This window comes from Homo sapiens, chromosome 18, assembly GCF_000001405.40.
Source record: "Homo sapiens chromosome 18, GRCh38.p14 Primary Assembly".
Classification (NCBI taxonomy): Eukaryota; Metazoa; Chordata; class Mammalia; order Primates; family Hominidae; genus Homo; species Homo sapiens.
The window spans coordinates 9,576,511-9,596,802 of record NC_000018.10 but is presented as its reverse complement, the minus strand read 5'-3'; the positions used below and the strand labels follow the sequence as shown (position 1 = coordinate 9,596,802).

General features: G+C 36.2%; 1 protein-coding gene across 19 annotated transcripts in view; it reads left to right on the top strand.

The window, feature by feature from the left end:
• Positions 1 to 20,292, top strand: part of PPP4R1 (protein phosphatase 4 regulatory subunit 1) — a 70,406-nt gene that overhangs the window by 20,397 nt on the left and 29,717 nt on the right. For 5 of the 19 annotated variants that reach the window (NR_168404.1, XR_007066261.1, XM_011525775.4 and 2 more), the window contains exons 3-10: positions 1,650 to 1,785; positions 2,929 to 3,035; positions 7,950 to 8,092; positions 8,568 to 8,714; positions 11,975 to 12,082; positions 12,223 to 12,288; positions 13,528 to 13,686; positions 19,612 to 19,739. Coding sequence is in view for 15 of the 19 variants with exons in the window: in XM_011525775.4 (XP_011524077.1) it covers positions 1,650 to 1,785; positions 2,929 to 3,035; positions 7,950 to 8,092; positions 8,568 to 8,714; positions 11,975 to 12,082; positions 12,223 to 12,288; positions 13,528 to 13,686; positions 19,612 to 19,739 (994 nt within the window). In the remaining 4 variants the exon portion in view is untranslated. The remainder of the gene's footprint in view (positions 1 to 1,649; positions 1,786 to 2,928; positions 3,036 to 7,949; positions 8,093 to 8,567; positions 8,715 to 11,974; positions 12,083 to 12,222; positions 12,289 to 13,527; positions 13,687 to 19,611; positions 19,740 to 20,292) is intronic. The other 14 variants (NR_168403.1, XM_011525776.2, NM_005134.4 and 11 more) reach the window with 6 other exon arrangements.

Here is a 20,292-nt window from a genome sequence, read left to right as displayed (position 1 = left end):
TTATCTGTTTAAAGTAGTCAGTTCTGTAAGATGGGCCCATGGTATATACACATTTACTTTAAAAACAAGCATTTTAAAATGCCCTAACAGCAATAACAGTTCATCAGGAAATGATGAATCTTTTCTGTCTCTCATATAGCAACATTTGGGAGGAGTTTCTTAGGTGGTTTTCTTTTTCTCTCTTAAGAGCTAAAGGAGCAACGACAAAATCTCATTGTGAGTGATGAACAGATTTATTTGTTTCAAAAATACTTAAATGCTTACTTTGTGCCTGGAAATATCCTGGAGATGAAGCAGTGTATGGGATAAAAATTTCTGTCCTCATGGAGCCAATAACTTACTCTAGAGAGACAGACTATAAGTAAAACAACTAATACGTACCAGATGTTGACAGGCACTATTGAGAAAGTAAATCAAGTAATGCAGGGGATAGAATAGGAAGTGCCAGGAAATAATAATAAAAATTTCTTGGAAAGCTCTTAGGGCTTTGGGAAAGGCCCTGATTTACCTCTGGATCGCATCCTTTCCAACCCCATGGTGTTTCCATCAGTAATATTTTCTTATTGCTAAAACTTCAATTTATATTTATTTGTTGACTGTTTACTTTCATTATATAACCATGTGCAACTCTGTCTTCTTTTAAACATTAGGAACAGAACAAAATAAATAATCTTTATTTTGCTTGAATGCCCTGGCTAGTAATCTAATCCAGTTTACTATATCACAGCCACAGTTCTGGAAAGTATATTTTGTATTCATTGTCTTCACTTTATTATATTTTCCTTTACCTCTTCAGTCAGGTTTGGCTTCTCGGCTTTCATGCAATGGAAAATTGCCCTTGTCACACAGCATGGCACAAAAGTACCAAATTCAGTGGGCACCTTTCAGTTCTTCCTTGACTCCTTTGGTAGTAGATGCTGTTTAATCATACTTTCACTCATTGCTTGGTTCCTTTGAAATAATTACCTTTTGGTTAGTTTTTAGCCATTCTTTCTTGGTCTTCTCTTCCTTCTCCTGCAGCTTGAATGGGTGTCTGGCCTTTTAGTTTGTATTAATACATACTTTTATTACAATGATCATTTTAAAGTAGATTGTTTTCTGTAGAATATTAGCTCTTTGAAGTCAGAAACATTAGTATTTTCATTGTTGTTTCTCCAGCATCTACCCTAGTACTTGGCACAAATGTATTTAATAAATATTTGTTTAATGAATGTAAATATATTAATGTTTTTAGCTTTCTTCTATTAAGTGAAGTTAGATACCAGTTTCATTAGCTTTATCTTCCACATTGCAGGACTAACTATATTGGTGCTTGACTTTTTGTGTGCCTATTCACAAGTTGTTAGTGTCTTGATTGAACATGTTCTCAAGACTGGTCACTTTCCTGCATACTGAGTTTCTGTAGCCTCTGACCTTTGTGCTTTTAGAGCCAAGTAGAACTTTGTGCTTATAGAGCCAAGTAGAACATATCTGTAGGAAAAGGAGAGGAGGTATCTTTTAGTTATTTGTGGCTTCTGGATTGATTCTGAGAGTCTCTTGTGATTTTTTTTTTGTACCATTCCAGAAACAGATTTGTACTGCTTCAGACAGGCAAGGGGTACATTTTAGTTTCAAAGTGTTATAAGGAGTATTTCTGATGTCTCTGATAGTTGGTGTGGATGACTACAGCTCAGAGTCTGATGTGATTATTATACCTTCAGCCCTGGACTTTGTCTCACAAGATGAAATGTTGACGCCCCTGGGGAGATTGGACAAGTATGCTGCAAGTGAGAACATATTTAACAGGTATGTGCATATTCTTTTTGTTAAAGTGGAAGTGGAAGGGTGGTTTTATTAACTTCAGTAGGGAAAATGAAAGTATCCACTTTAAAGGAGGTATTATTAACAGGCACAATCTGAGTCACCAAGTTTTATTCATAATCACAGCATGAGCAGTTTTGTACTTGTTTATTCTTTGATCCTAGTAAGCATACAACATGCTTTCTTTGCAAAAAAAAAAATTACCATTAATTACCATTGCTTTTCTGCCACTGGACATAATTTTGGTATTCATATAAATTGCTTATTGGGAAGTACATTATTCCTTCAACACATGATGTTGTATACCTGCTGTATGACGGGTGATGCTCAAGATCATTGGGTCACACAGCAGTGACCAAGAGCCAGCACTCTTCCTACTGCATTGTGTTTGTCCAGCCATGATCCCAGACCACCTATATCACACTTTTCTGGGAAATCAAAAAGTCTTGGTTCAGATTTTTTGGGTATAGCTATGCAAAACTCATACTACTAAAAATATGTAAGGGTAACATTTTGTATAATGAATGAGTGTGTTTTTTCATTGTGATAATTGAAGGACAACTGAAATGAATTTTTGGTGACTTTTTACCAAATCAGTTAGATAAAGATTAAAAAAAAATGTTGTAAATATTCAGTCTCATCTTGTTAAAATAAAATCAATACTGCCGTTTGCCACTTAGGAAATTATAGACCTAATATATGTTTTAATAATGTAATAAGAAAAAATTTTCTTAAAAAATATACAGATTTTGTCTTTTAAAATTCTAGATATCGGCCAGGTGCAGTGACTCATGCCTGTAATCCCAGCACTTTGGGAGGCCAAGGCAGGTGGATTGCTTGAGCCCGGGAGTTTGAGACCAGCCTGGGCAACATGGTGAAACAGCATCTCTACTAAAGATATTTAAAAATTAGCCAGGTGTGGTGGTGCATGCCTGTAGTCTCAGCTACTCAGGAGGCTGAGGTGGGAGGATTACCTGAGCCAGGGAAGTCAATGCTGCAGTTAGCCGTGATCACACCATTACACTCCGGCCTGGGCAACAGGAATGAGGCCCTGTCTCAAAAAATTAAAATTCTGGATATTAGCTATTGATGCCATTGAACATACATAATTTTGTTTTTTTTGTGTAGACAAATGGTGGCCCGGAGTTTGCTCGATACCTTGAGGGAAGTCTGCGATGATGAAAGAGATTGTATTGCTGTTTTGGAAAGAATTAGCAGATTGGCCGATGATTCAGGTATATGTGGAGAAAGTGAATTTACTCTATTCTAGAAAGGCTTCTTTGATCAAATTTGTGTTTCTAAAAACTAATGAACAAGTTAATGTGATATGAGATAGCTTTAAAATATTTCCTAAGTAATTATCAAACCCATCAGTGACAACAAAAGTAAAATTTGTTACTGAGACCTGGACATTTTACAGTGGGCTCATTTAGTTTAATTTTAGAAATTTCTCATCAAAACAAATCTAAAAACATTGTTTTGCATCATGTATAGTAATATTTTAGGATTAATAAAAATATATAGAATAATTTTGAATACATTAAAAGAGATGGAGGAGGCTGTAAATTATTTTAGGCAACTATAGAAAGCTTGCTTTCTGTGTGGTTTCTCACTTGCAAAAAAATGTTGATTAACCATTTGTAAAACTAAAGCTGGTTTATCTCCAAAGTGAAGATAAGAAAGTCTGCTTAAGAAAGAGGTAAACTTGATTTAAGGCTTAGAAAATGGTGATGTTAAAGTTTTTATAAATATATCTTTTGTTGTAGTAAAATATACTTAAAACTTAACACATAAAACTATTTTAAGGTAATATTAAACATATTTTTATACTTGATTTTAGAAACCATCCAAAAATCTTAAAACTTTTTCCCTTAAATCTATTATCTTTATTAAAGTATATTTTCTACCTCTGACAGACTTTTTGGCATCTCAGCAAGCCCTATTTTTTAATTTTTAGACAAGCTCATCTTTTGATGAACAGTTCATTTTAATGGGAATGTGTTAAATGTTTACATAAGCCTTAAATGTTTCTAATATTCTTACAGGGTGGGCAGAACATTTGTAGGCTTAACTGAGCAATAATCTACCTTTGTGTACATAATTGCTTATGTATGTGCTTGTTCTAGAATGGTTTTAGGAGGGGTCTCATCAAGCATAATTTTTACTTATTTTTTTAATTTGATTTAAGTTAAATAACAATTTAACATAAATTCATGGCACTGTTATAGCCTATTATGGTTATGTTCTTTAGTAGAGACAGATACTCTTTAAGGATAGATTTGTGTTTTCCTTTACCTGTTTACCAGCTCCAGAGTTTTTTTTTTTTTTGTAAGTGTGTGTGTGTGTATTTTAAAATATGTTCTCACATTGGTAAATTCATAGTAAATGTCTCTATTGACATAATTCCATTCATTCAGTATACATCAAACAGTACATACTCTATACCAGGTTCTAGATTAAATGCTAGAGCAGTTATTAAGGTGAACAAGGATTTGTGTCATCAAGTTAACAGTTTAGTGAATGCAGCCAACATATAAACAATAAATTATAATGGGAAGGATCGGGGCAGGCTTCAGAAAGTTAGTGACATTTAAGTTGGATTTGATAGATGAGGTATAGAGAGGGAAAAGGGCATACCCAGGAGGGGAAAAGATAGAGAAAGGAGTTCAAGATGGTGGCCCCTTTGGTCAACAATGAGGCCAACCTGACAATGAGACTAACCTGCTGAGTTTCCAGGTTAGAAAAATTAGGCTGTTAAGTAAGTTAGGTGAGGGCTAGATTGTAAAGGTTTATAATAAACCATGCTGATGACTTTACCTTTTTGTGATTTAGAACAGTGTAGTGTAGCAGTATGAACTGATATGGTGAAAAAGATGGGTGACAAGAAGACTTGATTGGAAGACTATACCAATTAATTGGGTGTTTTTGTTTTTGAGACAGAGTCTCGCTCTGTTGCCCAAGCTAGAGCAGAGTGGCGTGATATCCACTCACTGCAACCACCCCTGCCTCCCAGGTTCAAGCAATTCTCCTGCCTCAGCCTCTCGAATAACTGGGATTACAGGCATGTGCCACTACACCCAGTTAATTTTTGTATTTTTAGTAGAGAAGGGGTTTCACCATGTTGGCCAGGCTGGTCTGGAACTTCTGGCCTCAAGTGATCCACCTGCCTCAAGCTCCCAAAGTGCTGAGATTACAGGCATGAGCCACCGTGACCAGCCAGTTAATTGTTATAAGGATGAATTGTTGGATAGAAATTGAAGTACTAGGAGGGATTCCAAGGCTAACCTCTGGATAGAGTGAGGAAGAGAGAGGATTTGACCCTGAGGTTTCTAATTTTTAGGACTGGGCTTATTGTGATAGCTGGGTAAGATAAAGACTATTGAATAATAACATAGCTCTGAAGTGAATGAAATATGTATCCTTAGTTTAGACAAATAAGCAGCTGAGAACCTTTCGGTCTTCTGCCTTACCTTTCATTAGCTTTTATCTTGATTTTTTTATTCCCCAAAATTTACCATCTGCTTTTATTTTCCCCCGGAATGGATGGATGTATAGTGGTATCTCATTGTGGTTGTAATTTGCATTTCCTCAGTAACCAGTGAAGTTCATACCTGGTTATACACTTACTGGCTATTTGGGTATCTTTTTTTTTTTTGGAGATGGAGTCTCACTCTGTCACCCAGGCTGGAGTGTGGTGGCATGACCTTGGCTCACTACAACCTTCTTCTCCTGGGTTCAAGTGATTCTTCTGCCTCAGCCTCTCGAGTGGTGGGATTACAGGCATGCACCACCATGCCTGCCTAATTTTTGTATTTTTAGTAGAGATGGGATTTCTCCGTGTTGGCCAGGCTGGTCTTGAACTTCTGACCTCAAGTGATCCACCTGACTCAGCCTCCCAAAGTGCTGGTATTACAGACATGAGCCACCATGCCTGGCTTCTTCTTTTTTGAAATGTCTAAGTCTCTTCCCCCTTTAAAAAATTGGTAGTCATTTTCTTACAGATTTACAGGAATTCATTCTGCATATGAGCCGTATGTCATTTATGTGTATTAAAGATATCTTTTTCACTCTGTGGCTTCTCTTTGCACTCCGTGATGCTTCTTGCAGAAGAGAAGTGTTTTTCCTTTATGGGTCATGCCGTTTGTGTCTTCTTTGAGATTTTTTCCAATCTCAAAGTCATAAATATCTTTTCCTGTATTCTCTAACACAGAGAAGCCTTATTGTTTTTTGCCTTGACATTCAGATCTGTATTCCACCTGGAATTTATTCATGTGCGTGATACAAAGTGGAGGACAAGTTTCATTTTTTTTTTTAATGTGAGTAGCCAGTTGACACAACTGGGAAGACCATCTTTCCCAGTTCACCTTTTAATAAATCGGTTGTCTGTACATGCATGCGTCTGTTTCTGGGCTTTATTCCCCTGCCCCGCCCCATTAGTCTATTTGCCTAAGCGGGGCTTTGAAGAAAGAAAAGTTGCTGATTTCATTTTTAACTGAAACCATAACTTGTGTCCTCCTTTTGCTTCAAAAATATAAGCAATTGTCAGTGTTAACTTAGAAAATTCAGCATCCATGAGAAAAGCAGAGGCCTGTATGTTTACTTTTTTAAAAATTAGGTTTTTCTTCAAAACAGAAACACTCTATTTTGTTCATATCTGGCCAACTTCACATGGTACAACAGTATAATAGAAATTCCAGATATTGGTTTGTTGATAAGATTCTGAGCTTTGTAAAATACAGTATTATCTACTTAAAGGTATGTTAATTTCTCTGTTGATATCTGAAATCCTAGTAGACACATTCATACATATTTACTTTAATGTAGCTTTATTAATGCATAATAATAATGGGTATCAGAGTTCTAGTTAGGTCCGATACAATGACTTGTTACTGATAATCCATCATGTCTGTCTGTATTTCAGTCACTTGCATGTCTTCTATGAATTGCCTACTTGTATCCTTATTTTCTTTCTTATTATTTATTTGAACAGTGTGTTCACTTCCTAATACTCTGTTATACATGAATTTGCTCCCAGGCTGTTTTCCCTTTTAACTGAGTATTGGTATCTGTTATCTATAATAAAGTTTTTTTGTTTGTTTGTTTTTGAGACAGAGTCTTGCTCTGTTGCCCAGGGTGGAGTGCAGTGGCGCGATCTTGGCTCACTGCAACCTCCACCTCCCGTGTTCAAGTGATTCTACTGTCTCAGCCTCTGGAGTAGCTGGGATTACAGGCATGCACCACCACACCTGGCTCATTTTTGTATTTTTAGTAGAGACAGGGTTCACCATGTTGGCCAGGCTGGTCTGGAACTCCTGACCTCAAGTGATCTGCCCGCCTTGGCCTCTCAAAGTGCTGGGATTACAGGCACACCCAGCCTATAATAAAGTTTTTATAATGTATAATTAGTTGGTCTTACGGTTGATTTTTGGATTTTGTCTTCCCACCTCAAGATTGAACATTTAATATTATCTTTTAGTACTTTTGATCTTTATGATGTGCAGTAGGAACTTTTGTTCCGTGCTAACTAGCTGATTTTCCTACTGTTGCTTCTTAGACATTTCATCTTTTTGAAGCCCAGAAATTTGAAATGCCATATTTCTCACATTTAAATTTGCCATATGCACTTGGGTCTTTTCAGGTGTTTAAAAAATATTTGTCATCTTTAATTTTCATTTACCCATTTTTAGTCTTAGTTAAGTCTAATTATATATCTTTCATTTATTGACTAAGTTGAGATTAGGAACTAGTTTTTATGACTTGTCCTAGTAGGTTCTTAAATAGTGGAATTTATGGATAATACTATGTATGTGTCAGAGTATTGATGTAAATATCAGATAGGATATTTAACCCCTAGCACAGTGTGGCACAGTGTAGGTGATGAATAAATTTATTTATTGTTAAGAAATGGTTAGATACTCAGTGCATACTGTGAACAACAGAAGCTTGGATTGAAGATAAGGTCCTCCTTTCACTCATGGGATTGATCTGTGTATGATTCTGAAAAGGAATGCAGAATTAAAGGATGTTGTCTCAAGTCCTTTATATTTTGAAGATGAAAGTCCATAGCCTTCCTAAGTACCCTCAAGAACAGATAAAGGTTTTGTTGCTGCAGGAGAACATGTTTGCTCACATTGCCGTTATTTCAATAGAACCAACTGTGAGAGCGGAGCTGATGGAACAGGTGCCTCACATCGCACTGTTTTGTCAAGAAAACCGGCCTTCAATACCATATGCTTTTTCAAAATTCTTACTACCTATTGTGGTTAGATACCTTGCAGATCAGAATAATCAGGTAAGAGTACCATTTATATGTTCTTAAAAGAAATTTACGTAGTGTAATATATGGAGAATAGCCGAGCCTAAGTGTTCTCTTTGGAATGTTTTACTGTTTTTCAAAAATGAATATTTATCTTAGACAAGATGTGTTTAGAGTCTGACAAATCTAGTAGATCCCTTTAATGCCATTATGGACAATGCCTAGTAACTGCACTCTCACTTGGTAACCTCCTAGCGGTCCCTTAAAAGGTTTGTTACTTTGTGAGGCATCTTTTACCAGGATGGCTCTGTCCACTTCCTCTGTTACAGCACAATCTACGAAGTTCTGTAGTCTTTGTAATAGTTGAAGAAAATAAACACAAATATTTATTTGCGGAGTTTTGCCAGTTATGGGTCCCTTTGAGATGAGAAATCTTTGTTTATAAAAATCAAGTGATAGAATTTTGTCATGTTGCATATGTACTTTCTTTGTGTTGTTATTTTTCTCCTAGGTGAGGAAAACAAGTCAGGCAGCTTTGCTGGCTCTGTTGGAGCAGGAGCTCATTGAACGATTTGATGTGGAGACCAAAGTGTGCCCTGTCCTCATAGAGCTGACAGCCCCAGATAGCAATGATGATGTGAAAACAGAAGCTGTGGCTGTAAGTCAAATGCCATTTTTCCACTTATGCAAAATGTGGCTGATAAGAGGTGCTTATTAAAAGTCAGGCCGGGGTTAGGCACGGTGGCTCATGCCTGTAATTCCAGCACTTTGGGAGGCCGAGGTGGGTGGATCACTTGAGGTCAGGAGTTGGAGACCAGCCTGGGCAATATGGTGACACCTGGCTCTGCCAAAAAAATACAAAAATTAGCCAGGCATGGTGGTGTGCGCCTGTAGTCCCTGTTACTTGGGAGGCTGAGGCAGGAGAATCACTTGAACCTGGGAGGAGGTGGAGGTTGTAGTGAGCCAAGATCAGGCCACTGCACTTCAGCCTGGGCGACAGAGCAAGACTCCGCCTCAAGGAAAAAAAAAAAAATTAGGCTGGGCTGGGTGCAGTGGCTCATGCCTGTAATCCCAGCACTTTGGGAGGCCAAGGTGGGAGGATCACTTGAGACCAGGGGTTTGAGATCAGCCTGGCCAACATGGCAAAACCCCATCTCTACTAAAAATACAAAAAAAATTAGCCAGGTGTGGTGGCACATGCTTGTAATCCCAGCTACTCTGGAGGCTGAGGCACGAGAATCATTTGAACCTGGGAGACAGAGGTTACAGTGAGCCGAGGTCATTCCACTGCATTCCAGCCAGGTTGACAGAACAAGACTCTGTCTTAAAAAAACAAAACAAAAAAAAAAAAAGAAAGAAAGAAAGAAAGAAAAGGCTGCTTTCTGTTAAAGTTGCCACAAATCATTAAATTTGAAATACAATCAGGGCTAGAAAGGGACATAAAGGCTTACAAAGGAAAGTGTACCTTCTGCACACAATACGAAAAAATACATAATTGTAAATTATTATGTCAAAGTGGAAAACTGAAATGGTTATTTTATCAGTGCAGTTAAAATTTTAAAAACCCTGGACTGAACGAAGAAACACTTGAACCCCTTCAGTAGGTATTGAACACTTTTCTAGGCACTGTGTAAGCACAGTGGAAATAAAATAATACTTTGCTCCTGCTCTGACAGGTATGGTCTTTGTGGGAAGGATGGTCAGGCAAGTACATTTCCCAGGATATATGACATCAGTGATGGTTATCAGAAGAATATACAGATTGTTAAGTCATTACGCACATCATAAAGTCAAATGTAATAGGAAGTTTCTGGGTTTTTTTTTGACATGGTTTGCAAATATTCTGATTACTTGAAGGCCATGATAGGGCATGAATTAGTATAGAGTAGTATCTGTTGTGATTCACATCTGGTTCCTGAGTTCGGATAGTAGTAATTCTCATGGTAAATTAGAAAAGTGATAAATTCGTCTGGAAATTTATTCATATCTATTTGGATAGTAAGAGTTCACTCCTTAAGCCTAAAATAATATGGTTGCGTCTTTGTTGATATTTTTTAATAATCACACTATATTTAGTGCTTCTGGATCATCAGTAATGGGATGAATTAGATGATCTCTCTAGTCTCTTTCCCTTGAAGAATTTCTTGAATCTATTATTTTTAGATACTCAGTTACCAGTTAATAATAAATTTACTTTTTCAGTAATGTTTTTACTGAAGTGAACCTTACATGACATAAAATCATTTTAGTGTTAGTGGCATTTAATATGTTCACAAAGTTGTATAACCACCACTTCTTCCTAGTTCCAAAACATCATTATTTCTTTTTTCACTTTAGGATTTTTGCAATGAAGGAAATCAGTTTTGGGCTTGGCCTAATTTTTGGTTTATATTGAGCCGTTTAACTTGCTGTATTATAATTCTCGATGCAATGTAAAATTAGTAAAACATTACAATAAAAAATTTAAAAACTATATCCAGTGCTAGTAGGAGTCTTATGATTCTCTTACAGTTGTGTTTGTTTTTTGGTCATGTTTTATATTCCATGGCTCCCATATTTTCTCTATCTTAATAGATAGAGAAATAATAATTATTTCTTAATAAAAATTAATTTCTTAATAAAAATAATTCATTTTTAAATAAATTTAGTTATGCTACATCAGTGATATACAGCATAACTTTGGATTGTTAACTAGAGCATGGAGATGCTTATTCAAAAAACAAAACTGGTTTTGGGATTTAGGAGATGTAGGCGTTATCTCTAGTTCTGATGATGGTGGGATTTTCATGGGGATAGTGTTGAATCTGTAGATCAATTTGGAGACAATTGCCAGTTTCACAGTCTATGAACATGGTAGATCTATTTATTTAGGTCTTTGATTTATATCTTTAATCTTTTGTAGTTTTCAGCAGAAAGTTCTTGTGTGTATTTTGTTCGATTTCATATTTTTTAAAAGTACTTCTGTGAGTGATACTGTTCTTAAATGTTTCCAGTTCATTGTTCATTGCTAATTTGTAGAAATACAATAGATTTTTATATTCTAATTTATAGCCTACAACCTTCCTAAACATACTTATTCTGGTGGCTTCTTTGTAGATTCCTTCTGATTTTCTGTGTAGACAACCATGTCGTATTTGAATAGAGAGAATTTTCTTTCTTTGCAATCTGTATCTCTTTTACTTCTTTATTTTGTCCTGTTTGTACAGTCTAGCAATTGATACAATTGATAAATGACAACAGGCTATCCCATTTCTTTCTGTATTAACTGTGGGAACAATGTATCTAAATAGAGGGCCAGTTTTCAAATAAAGTTAATCCTCACTTTGCCTCCTATTGTGTTAACTGAAACATGCCTATATCAGAACTGTGTTCATGCTTTCCCTGGAACTGAAGCTTTGCAAAACCAGGACATGGTTCTGATATGTATGAGCTTTAGTTCACAGGGTGCTTTGCAAGGCGAGGACTGAATTTTTTCTTAGCAATACAGATATGCTAAATCTAGATCTTTCCTGGGGATAGTTTTCCCTTTGAACAGTCACCAATTTTTTAAATTGGGAAAATGTAGGTTTTTGTTTGTTTGTTTGTTTTGCTTTTAAAATTACCAGGCAAAATGATGAAGTAGTAGTAAGATGGAAACTGTGGACAAAAATGAAATTGTTAGGATTTTCTGTGGGTTTACTGGGCATGCAGTATTTATTGGTTGTTTTTATTGATTGTGGTTAATATCTGTCTTTGTTTCCTACTTAGATAAATAAGATGAAATTAATAATTGGCTATGAATGTTTTCTGTCATGTATATAGTATAATGATGCCATATCATATTTTATGTTTCCTCAAATTATATACTTTTATTATTTAATTTAACTGAAAGAGGCTTACTTGATATTTTCAGTGTGTGTTTGTTCTTACTTATTTTAGATAATGTGCAAAATGGCTCCCATGGTTGGGAAGGATATTACAGAGCGTCTTATCCTCCCTAGGTTTTGTGAGATGTGCTGCGATTGCAGAATGTTTCACGTTCGAAAGGTATTTTTTTGTCGTTTTTTTTCTGCTGTTTAAGAACATAGTTCTAGTGGTTAATGTACTGATACATGATATTTAAAAGATTATCTTAGAAGAACCTTATGTGTAATATTTTGAAATGTCAATGATGCTTTTGTTGTCAGGTCTGTGCTGCCAATTTTGGAGATATTTGCAGTGTAGTTGGCCAGCAAGCTACTGAAGAAATGTTGGTAAGTATTGCAGATATAAAGGAGTAAACAGTGTGTGTTACAAAGTAGTACATAAAGTTTGAAATGCACACATTTACTCCAAAGTTTTATTAACACAATTCCATGAATATAAACCAGAAAGATAATTTTGAATTTAGGAGTTTAAATATCTGTAATCTGGGCATTTGAATTATCTTTTTGATATTTATTAAAAATATGGATATGTTTCAGAACCATTGATCTGTTTTCACCTCTTCCATTTCTGTTAAGCAAATCAATTCTTACTTATTCAATTGAACCTTTAATTTTATTGCAACCCTCAAGAATGTTGATGACATATTAAATCTATAGCAAGTTAGTTTTAAATAGTACACAAGATGCCTATACTTGATGTATAAGTCACCATATCTAAAGAGTTTCTGAAGCCATCTCTTATGCAAAATAATTAAGTTCAGGGGCAAGCTCTTGTAAAACATTTAAGCTATGATTGTTGGGAGTGCTTTTGCATAGCCAGAAATATTGCATAAGACAATCCAGTATGCTTTTGCATAGCCAGAAATCCGACGGACCAAATTATCAGCACTTTTTATTAATTTATCAGTGATCTTTCATGTTGGGTAGGGTTTTGATTATCACTTTTGTGAAATAATACATTTCTGTCCGTTTTAAAGCAAACATAATTTTGACTCATAAGAAATAACTTAAAATTTAAGATATATTATTATATGTTATATATTTATAATTTAAGATACATTATTTTTTATACTTTTAGGAATAGACAGTAAATTAGATGTGATTTATTGAAAATTGTTGAGTATAAATACTAATAGATCCTACTTTTTAAGACAATCCAACATTTAAAACACTGAGGCTGGGCGTGGTGGCTCACACCTGTAATCCTAGCACTTTGGGAGGCCAAGGCAGGTGGATCACCTGAGGTCAGGAGTTCGAGACCAGCCTGGCCAACATGGTGAACCCTCATTTCTACTAAAAATACAAAAATTAGCTGGGCGTGGTGGCACACGTCTGTAATCCCAGCTACTTGGGAGGCTGAGGCAGGAGAATTGCTGGAACCCAGGAGGTGGAGTTTGCAGTGAGCCAAGATCGCACCACCTCACTCCAGCCTGGGCAAAAGAGTGAGACTCTGTCTCAAAACAAACAAACAAACAAAAGAAGCGTGAAAGCAGAAAATGAAAGCGAAGTAACTGATGAAATCTGCTATCTTTATCCAACTAACAAGACTCTTTCCTTTTCACATAGCTGCCCAGATTTTTCCAGCTTTGTTCTGATAATGTATGGGGAGTCCGAAAGGCTTGTGCTGAATGCTTCATGGCGGTTTCATGTGCAACATGTCAAGAAATCCGACGGACCAAATTATCAGCACTTTTTATTAATTTGATCAGTGATCCTTCACGTTGGGTAGGGTTTTGATTATCACTTTTGTAAAATAATACATTTGTGTCCGTTTTAAAGCAAACATAATTTTGACCTCATAAGAAATAACTTATAATTTAAGATATATTATTTTTTATACTTTTAGGAATAGACAGTAGAAAGACTACTATATTAACAGTTTGTGTGTTTTTTTGTAACAGGACAAAAATTTCTTTACACATTTAAGTCCTGTTGATTTTTATTTAATTGGCATGATGTATTATGTTAATTTTTAGATGTTAAACCACTTGCATCTTTGGAATAAGTCCCACTTGGTCATAGTTGTATAATTCTTTTTATATGTCGCTGGATTCAGTTTGTCAGTATTTTGTTGAGGGTTTTTGTGTCCATATCATGAGAGATAATAGTCTGTAGTTTTCTTATGGTGCCTTTGTCTGGTTTGTTGTCAGAGTAATAATGGCCTCATAAAATGAGTTAGGAAATGTTCCCTCCTCTACTGTTTTTGGGGAGAGTTTTTGAAGAATTGTTATTGATTATCTCTTAAATGTTTGGTTGAGTTCAGTGGTGAAGCCGTCTGGGCCTGGGCTTTTCTTTGTAGATAGTTGTAAAATTCCTAATTCTGTCTCTTCACTTGTTATAGGTCTGTTGTGTGTTTTTTTCTTGAGTCAGTTTTCATAGTTTGTATCTTTCTAGGAATTTGTACATTTCATCTAAGTTACTTAATTTGTTGGTATATGATTATACATAGGATTCCTTTATAATCTTTTAATTTCTGTAATGTCAGTAGTAATGCCTCTTCTTTCATTTCCTATTTGAGTAATTTGAGTCTTGTCTCTGTTTCTTGGCCAGTCTGCTAAAGGTTTGTCAGCTTCGTTGATCTTTTTACAGAACCAACTTTTGGTTTCATTGGTTTTCTCTATTTTTCTATTATTCATTAATTTCCATTTTAATCTTTATTCTCCCTTCTGCTTGCTTTTAGTTTATTTTGCTTCTTTTTCCAGTGTCTTTAGGCAGAAGGTTAGGTTGTGGATTAGAGGTCTTCCTTCCTTCTTTGAATTATCATCTGGGGTAAATGGCTTTCAACCCGAAAAACTTTATTTAGTATTTCTTGTTAATGTGGTTCTGCGAACAACAAATTCTGTTTTCATTTATCTGTGAATGTCCTTATTTCACCTTCAATTTTGAAAGACAGCTTTACTTAATGTGAGATTGAGTGTGTTATGCCACTGCCTCAGACCTCTTCTGTTTCTACTGTGAAGTCAGCGGTTAATCATATTGGGGTTCCCTTGTAAGTGATGTGTCATTTTTCGCTTGTTGCTTTCTAGATTTTTCTCCTTGCCTTTGACTTTCAGAATTTTTACTGTGATGTGTCCGTATGTGCACCTCTTTTAGTTTATACTACTTGGAGTTGAGTTGATTGAACTTCCTAGTTATGTAAGTTACGTTTTTCAATACGTTTGAAAAGTTTTGAGCCAATGTTTCTTCAAATATTTTTCCTTCTCTCTTCTCTCCCTCTAATATTCCCATTATGTATATGTTAAATGTGCTTAATGATGGCCCACATTTCTTTGAGGCCCTTTTCATTTTTCCTCAATTTTTTCCCCCTCTCTATTCTTTGGCTTGCATAATCTCTATTGATCTATCTTCAATAGAACAATTATTTGTTCTGCCAGTTCAGATCTACTGTTGAGCTCATGTACTGACTTTATTTTAGTCATTGCACTTTTCAGCTGTAGAATTCCATCTGGTTCTTTTTTGTAATTTCTCTTTATTGATGTTATACTCTAGTTGATGCAGCACCGTCCCCATAACTCCCATTACTTCTGTAATCATCATTTCCTTTGGTTCTGTGAACATGTTTATAATAGCTACTTTGAAGTCTTTTTTTAAGTCTGAAATCTGATTGCTCTCACAATCAGTTTCTGTTGCCTGTCTCTTTTATCCCCCTAATGTATGGATTTTTTTTTTTTTTGCCTGCCTTGTAATGTTTTGTTGAGAGTTGAACATTTTAGATAATATGTGTAGTTTGATACTGGTTGTCCTCGCTCCCCCATGGGGGCTTGTTACTGTTATTTGCTTGTTTAGTGACTGGCTGGAATGCTTGAGTGAAGACTATTTCCCCACTCCAGGAGGTACAGCTTTGGGTCTGCCCACAGCCACCCTGGTATGACAGGGGCTTAGTGGGTATGGAAGGGCAGCAGCCTGAGGTTCCCTTGGCTTCTTTCTCCTGGTGAGGAATCACCACCCTGTGAGGTAGACCAGTGCCTTTTGGGGCCCCAGCCTTTTCAGTGTGCCACACCCAAAGGAGGGTGGAAGAAAGGAGCCTCACCCCTCAGCTGCTCTCACTCAGGACTGGACCTCAGCATCAGGTAGCTGGAGCGATGCAGCCTGTGCCCGGGAGCTGCGGGAGAGCAGACCCCAGTGTGCTTGGCTACAGCACACTGCTGTCTCCACCTCACCTCACTGGAGGCGTTACAAGGAGGGAATGGTCAGCTGGGCGCGGTGGCTCGCACCTGTAATCCCAGCACTTTGGGAGGCCGAGACGGGTGGATCACGAGGTCAGGAGATCAAGACCATCCTGGCTAACACGGTGAAACCCCGTCTCTACTAACAAATACAAAAAATTAGCCGGGTGTGGTGGCGGGCGCCTGTAGTCCCAGCTACTCAGGAGGCTGAGGCAGGAGAATGGCGTGAACCTGGGAGGCGGAGCTTGCAGTGAGCCGAGATCGCGCCATTGCACTCCAGCCTGGGCAATAGAGCGAGACTCTGTCTCAAAAAAAAAAAAAAAATTAGACTCTCAGCTTTTTTATGATGTATACTACATTTTGTCAGTTTTCTTTAATTGTTATCCCTTCAATTGCTGCTTGCTCCTAGGGCCATTTCCAGGGGCTTTGAATTATTGTTTTATAATTTTCACTTACTTCACTGAGAAGTGGGTCAGCTGAGCTCCTCACACCGTCATGGCAGAGATCAATCTCAGGACCTTTGCATATTCATTCCCAAAACAAAATTGACATAGAGGGCAAGACTCTTAAGCCTTGATATTATATTAATGTTTTTGTTATATCCTGTATCGGCTTGTTAGAAAAGATTAACATAGCTTACTCAATTTTCTTTGTGAAGCTATGTATTTGGTCGTTGTTTTGGATTGGTAACATGCATTAGTTCCTGTTAATTTGAGAATATGGATATGTCAGTCATTTTAGAGATATACAGCTGTTCCTTGGTATCCATGGAGGATTGGTTCCAGGACCCCTTGTGGATACCAAAATCTGAGGATACTCAGAAGTCTCTGATACAAAATGGCATAGTATTTGCATATAACCTATGCACATCCTCCTGTACACTGTAAATCGTCTCTAGATTACTTACATCTAATACAGCATAAATGCTATGTAAGTAATTGTTACTCTATTATTTAGGGAATAATGACAAGGAAAAAAGTCTGTACTTGTTCAATACAGACACAACCATCATGGGTCTAACAATGTTTTCAATGTGTAGTTGGTTGAATCCACAGAACCTGTGGATACAGAGGGCAGGCTATATATGCTGCACCTGTCTGAGAAAAATGTGTATCTTATGCCTATTTTACACACACACACACACACACACACACACACGTGTAAATCCTATGCCTATTTAGGTGCAAAAAAAAGACAAGATAGTCTTTTGTCCGAACAATGTTAAGCCATTTGGGGAAGGTTATAATCTACTGTATTGTCCCTTCTCAAAAGTTAAAATTGAATTAAAAGTTAATTTTATTTCTGAAATTCGTTAATATTTATTCTTTGAGTGACTTGTGGGTTTTTTAGTGGTTTCCAGAACCTTTGTTTAAAGTCATTAGTTGTTTATTTCTTAAAGTCATTGAAACTAGTAAAAATAATAGCTTAAAATCACTTTATTTTGAGGAATAGCTCAAAGTAGAAATATTTTTATAGTGTTGGAAAATTACTCAATTACAGGCAGTGGGATGTGTTGGAGAGTTAAAATTGGACTTCAGTCCTGATTTCATTGTAACTATAGGGTAACACTGAAGAAGTCATTTTATTTGGATTTCAGTTTCTGTTTTTGTGAAATCAAGGAGGTAGATTAATAGTAGGATTTAATTAACTTATTAGACACTGTGATCTCTCTCCTCCACATTAAACTTTTTTCATTCTAATCTAACAACAAGCTAAACTAATGATTTAGATAAATTAAGTTTTCTATGTCCTTTATTGGGAACAAGCTCAGAGATTTAACAGTATTCAGAGAAGATTAAATTCGTGCATACAGCGTTAAAAGTGACCTTTTATCCTTTTATGGAAGTAATGTTTCCATAATGTTTCGTAAGTAAGTGACTTACGAAGGGGAGAAAAACCCTTAGTTTACACACATACAAGCTATTCTTTTCCCTCTCATGCATATAATTCTAGCCTTTTTAAAAAATCAATTGAGTCATTTTTTATGTATGCTTCTCCAAGAGTAGGTAAATACTAATAATAGATATCTCTACATTTATTTGCTTTTGTAAAAATCATGCTTACTATATAATTATTATCTTAAACTTGAAAAAGGTATTATTATGCTTTTTTTTTTTTTTTAAAGAAAAGAAATGCTAGCCAGGAGCAGTGACTCACACCTATAATCCTAACACTTTGGGAGGAGGAGGTGGGAGGATTGCTTGAGGCTAGGAGTTCAAGACCAGTCTGGGCAACATAGCAAGGACTTGTCTCTGCAAAAAAAATAGAAAAATTAACTGGATGTGGTGGCACATGCCTATAGTCCCCAACTATTCATGAGGCTGAGGTTGGAAGATCACTTAAGCCAAGGATTTTGAGGCTGCAGTGAGCCATGGTAGCACCACTGTTTTCCAGCCTCCACAGCAGAGCAAGAGCTGTCTCAAAAGGAAAAGGAATGCTAAACTTCAGGGAAATTGGTGTGTGGCAAAGTCAAGGTTTTAGTAACATACCAGTTTCCCATTGTTGTTGCCTTTGTCCGATTGTGTCCATCCTTCCATAAAACCTCTCATTTTCAAATGTTTTAAAAATTCCTGATTTTAAAAATAATACAGAAATACGACATGAAGTGGAATTCTATAACTTCTTTATCACCCCTCCTACATGAGACAGTCATCAAGAACAATAGTATATGCTTCAAGATCTTTGTGACATACTTTAAGTTAACATTATGTTTCTGGTACGTCTGTCTTGCTTCCTTCTAGTGAACAAATTAAAGTCTTTCCTACCTGAAAACATTAAATGTATTTATCACATTTTGTTGGCTTTATTGATTTTTATGTTCTTTGTGGCACTCTTGGTTTTCCTTATTCTTTTTGTTCTTGAGAACACAGCAGGACCTTCTTTAGTTTTGTTCTATGCAAATGTTTCATAGTATCTCATACTTAGATTATCATGGTTCAAACATTCAAGAGAGGATAAAAACAATTGAAAGTAAAAAAGAGCAAATAGGGGTTTGTTTGGGGTTTTTTTTTTAGACAGTCTTGCTCTGTCACCCAGGCTGGAGTACAGTGGTGTGATCACGGCTCACTACAGACTTAGCCTCATGGGTTCACGCGCTTCTTCCACCTCAGGCCCTGCCGAGTAGCTGGGACCACAGGCATGCGCCACCACGCCCTGCTAACTTTGGTATTTTTTGTAGAGACTGGATTTCGCCATGTTGCCCAGGCTGGTCTCAAACTGCTGGACTCAAGCGATCTGCCCAGCTCAGCCTCCCAGAGTGCTGGGATTACAGGCATGAGCCACTGCGCCCAGCCAGAGAAAATAGCTTGTAAGAATTTTTCAGTCCTAGCTAAAGTTCTGAATCTGGGCTTCCTTTAGAAAAGCTTCATTATTATCCTAAACATACTTCGGCATTTGAAAGTAGATTATTAAATATACATAATGTGTGCGTATATAATTCTTTTTCAAAATGATTCCTTTATTATTGTCCTTTTTATCTTCCTAGGTTCGCCAAGCAGCTTTTCAGTCTCTGGGACCTTTCATATCTACTTTTGCTAATCCATCTAGCTCAGGCCAGTATTTTAAAGAAGAAAGCAAAAGTTCAGAAGAGATGTCAGTAGAAAACAAAAATAGGTATAATTTTGAAACCATTTTCTAATTTTAAAACCTTGTTTTCTAATTTTACTGCTTTTAAACATTATTTCCACTATTCTGCAACAAATGTTATTTTTTGATAGTTTGCTATTTCTCTTGAATATAAAAATTGGTGAATATTTTTATAGAGCTTTACTTTAAGCGCATTTGTTTGTTAAGTATCTCTTTGGTTGGTTACATATTGAATGAGTAGATGCATGTAACACAATTAGCTAGATGCCTCGCACATAGGAAACTCTAAATGGTAGATTATGACTTTTAAAAAATGTTTATTTAGTACATTATTTAGTCAATCATTCATTGATATCTACAATATACAGGGTAATTGTTACACACTGTGTAGTATTTGGGTTTTTTTAAATTTGTTTTTAAGGAGTAAAACTTAATTTAGGAATATGTTTTATTGTCCTTTTCTGTCAAATAATTTAGTTGCGCATCTTGGATTCTTTGTCAATGGTGATTGTAATCTGTCAGTTAAAGGAGAAAGCCAGTATATTAGCCAGTATATCAGTTTTAAGTATATCAGTCTCAT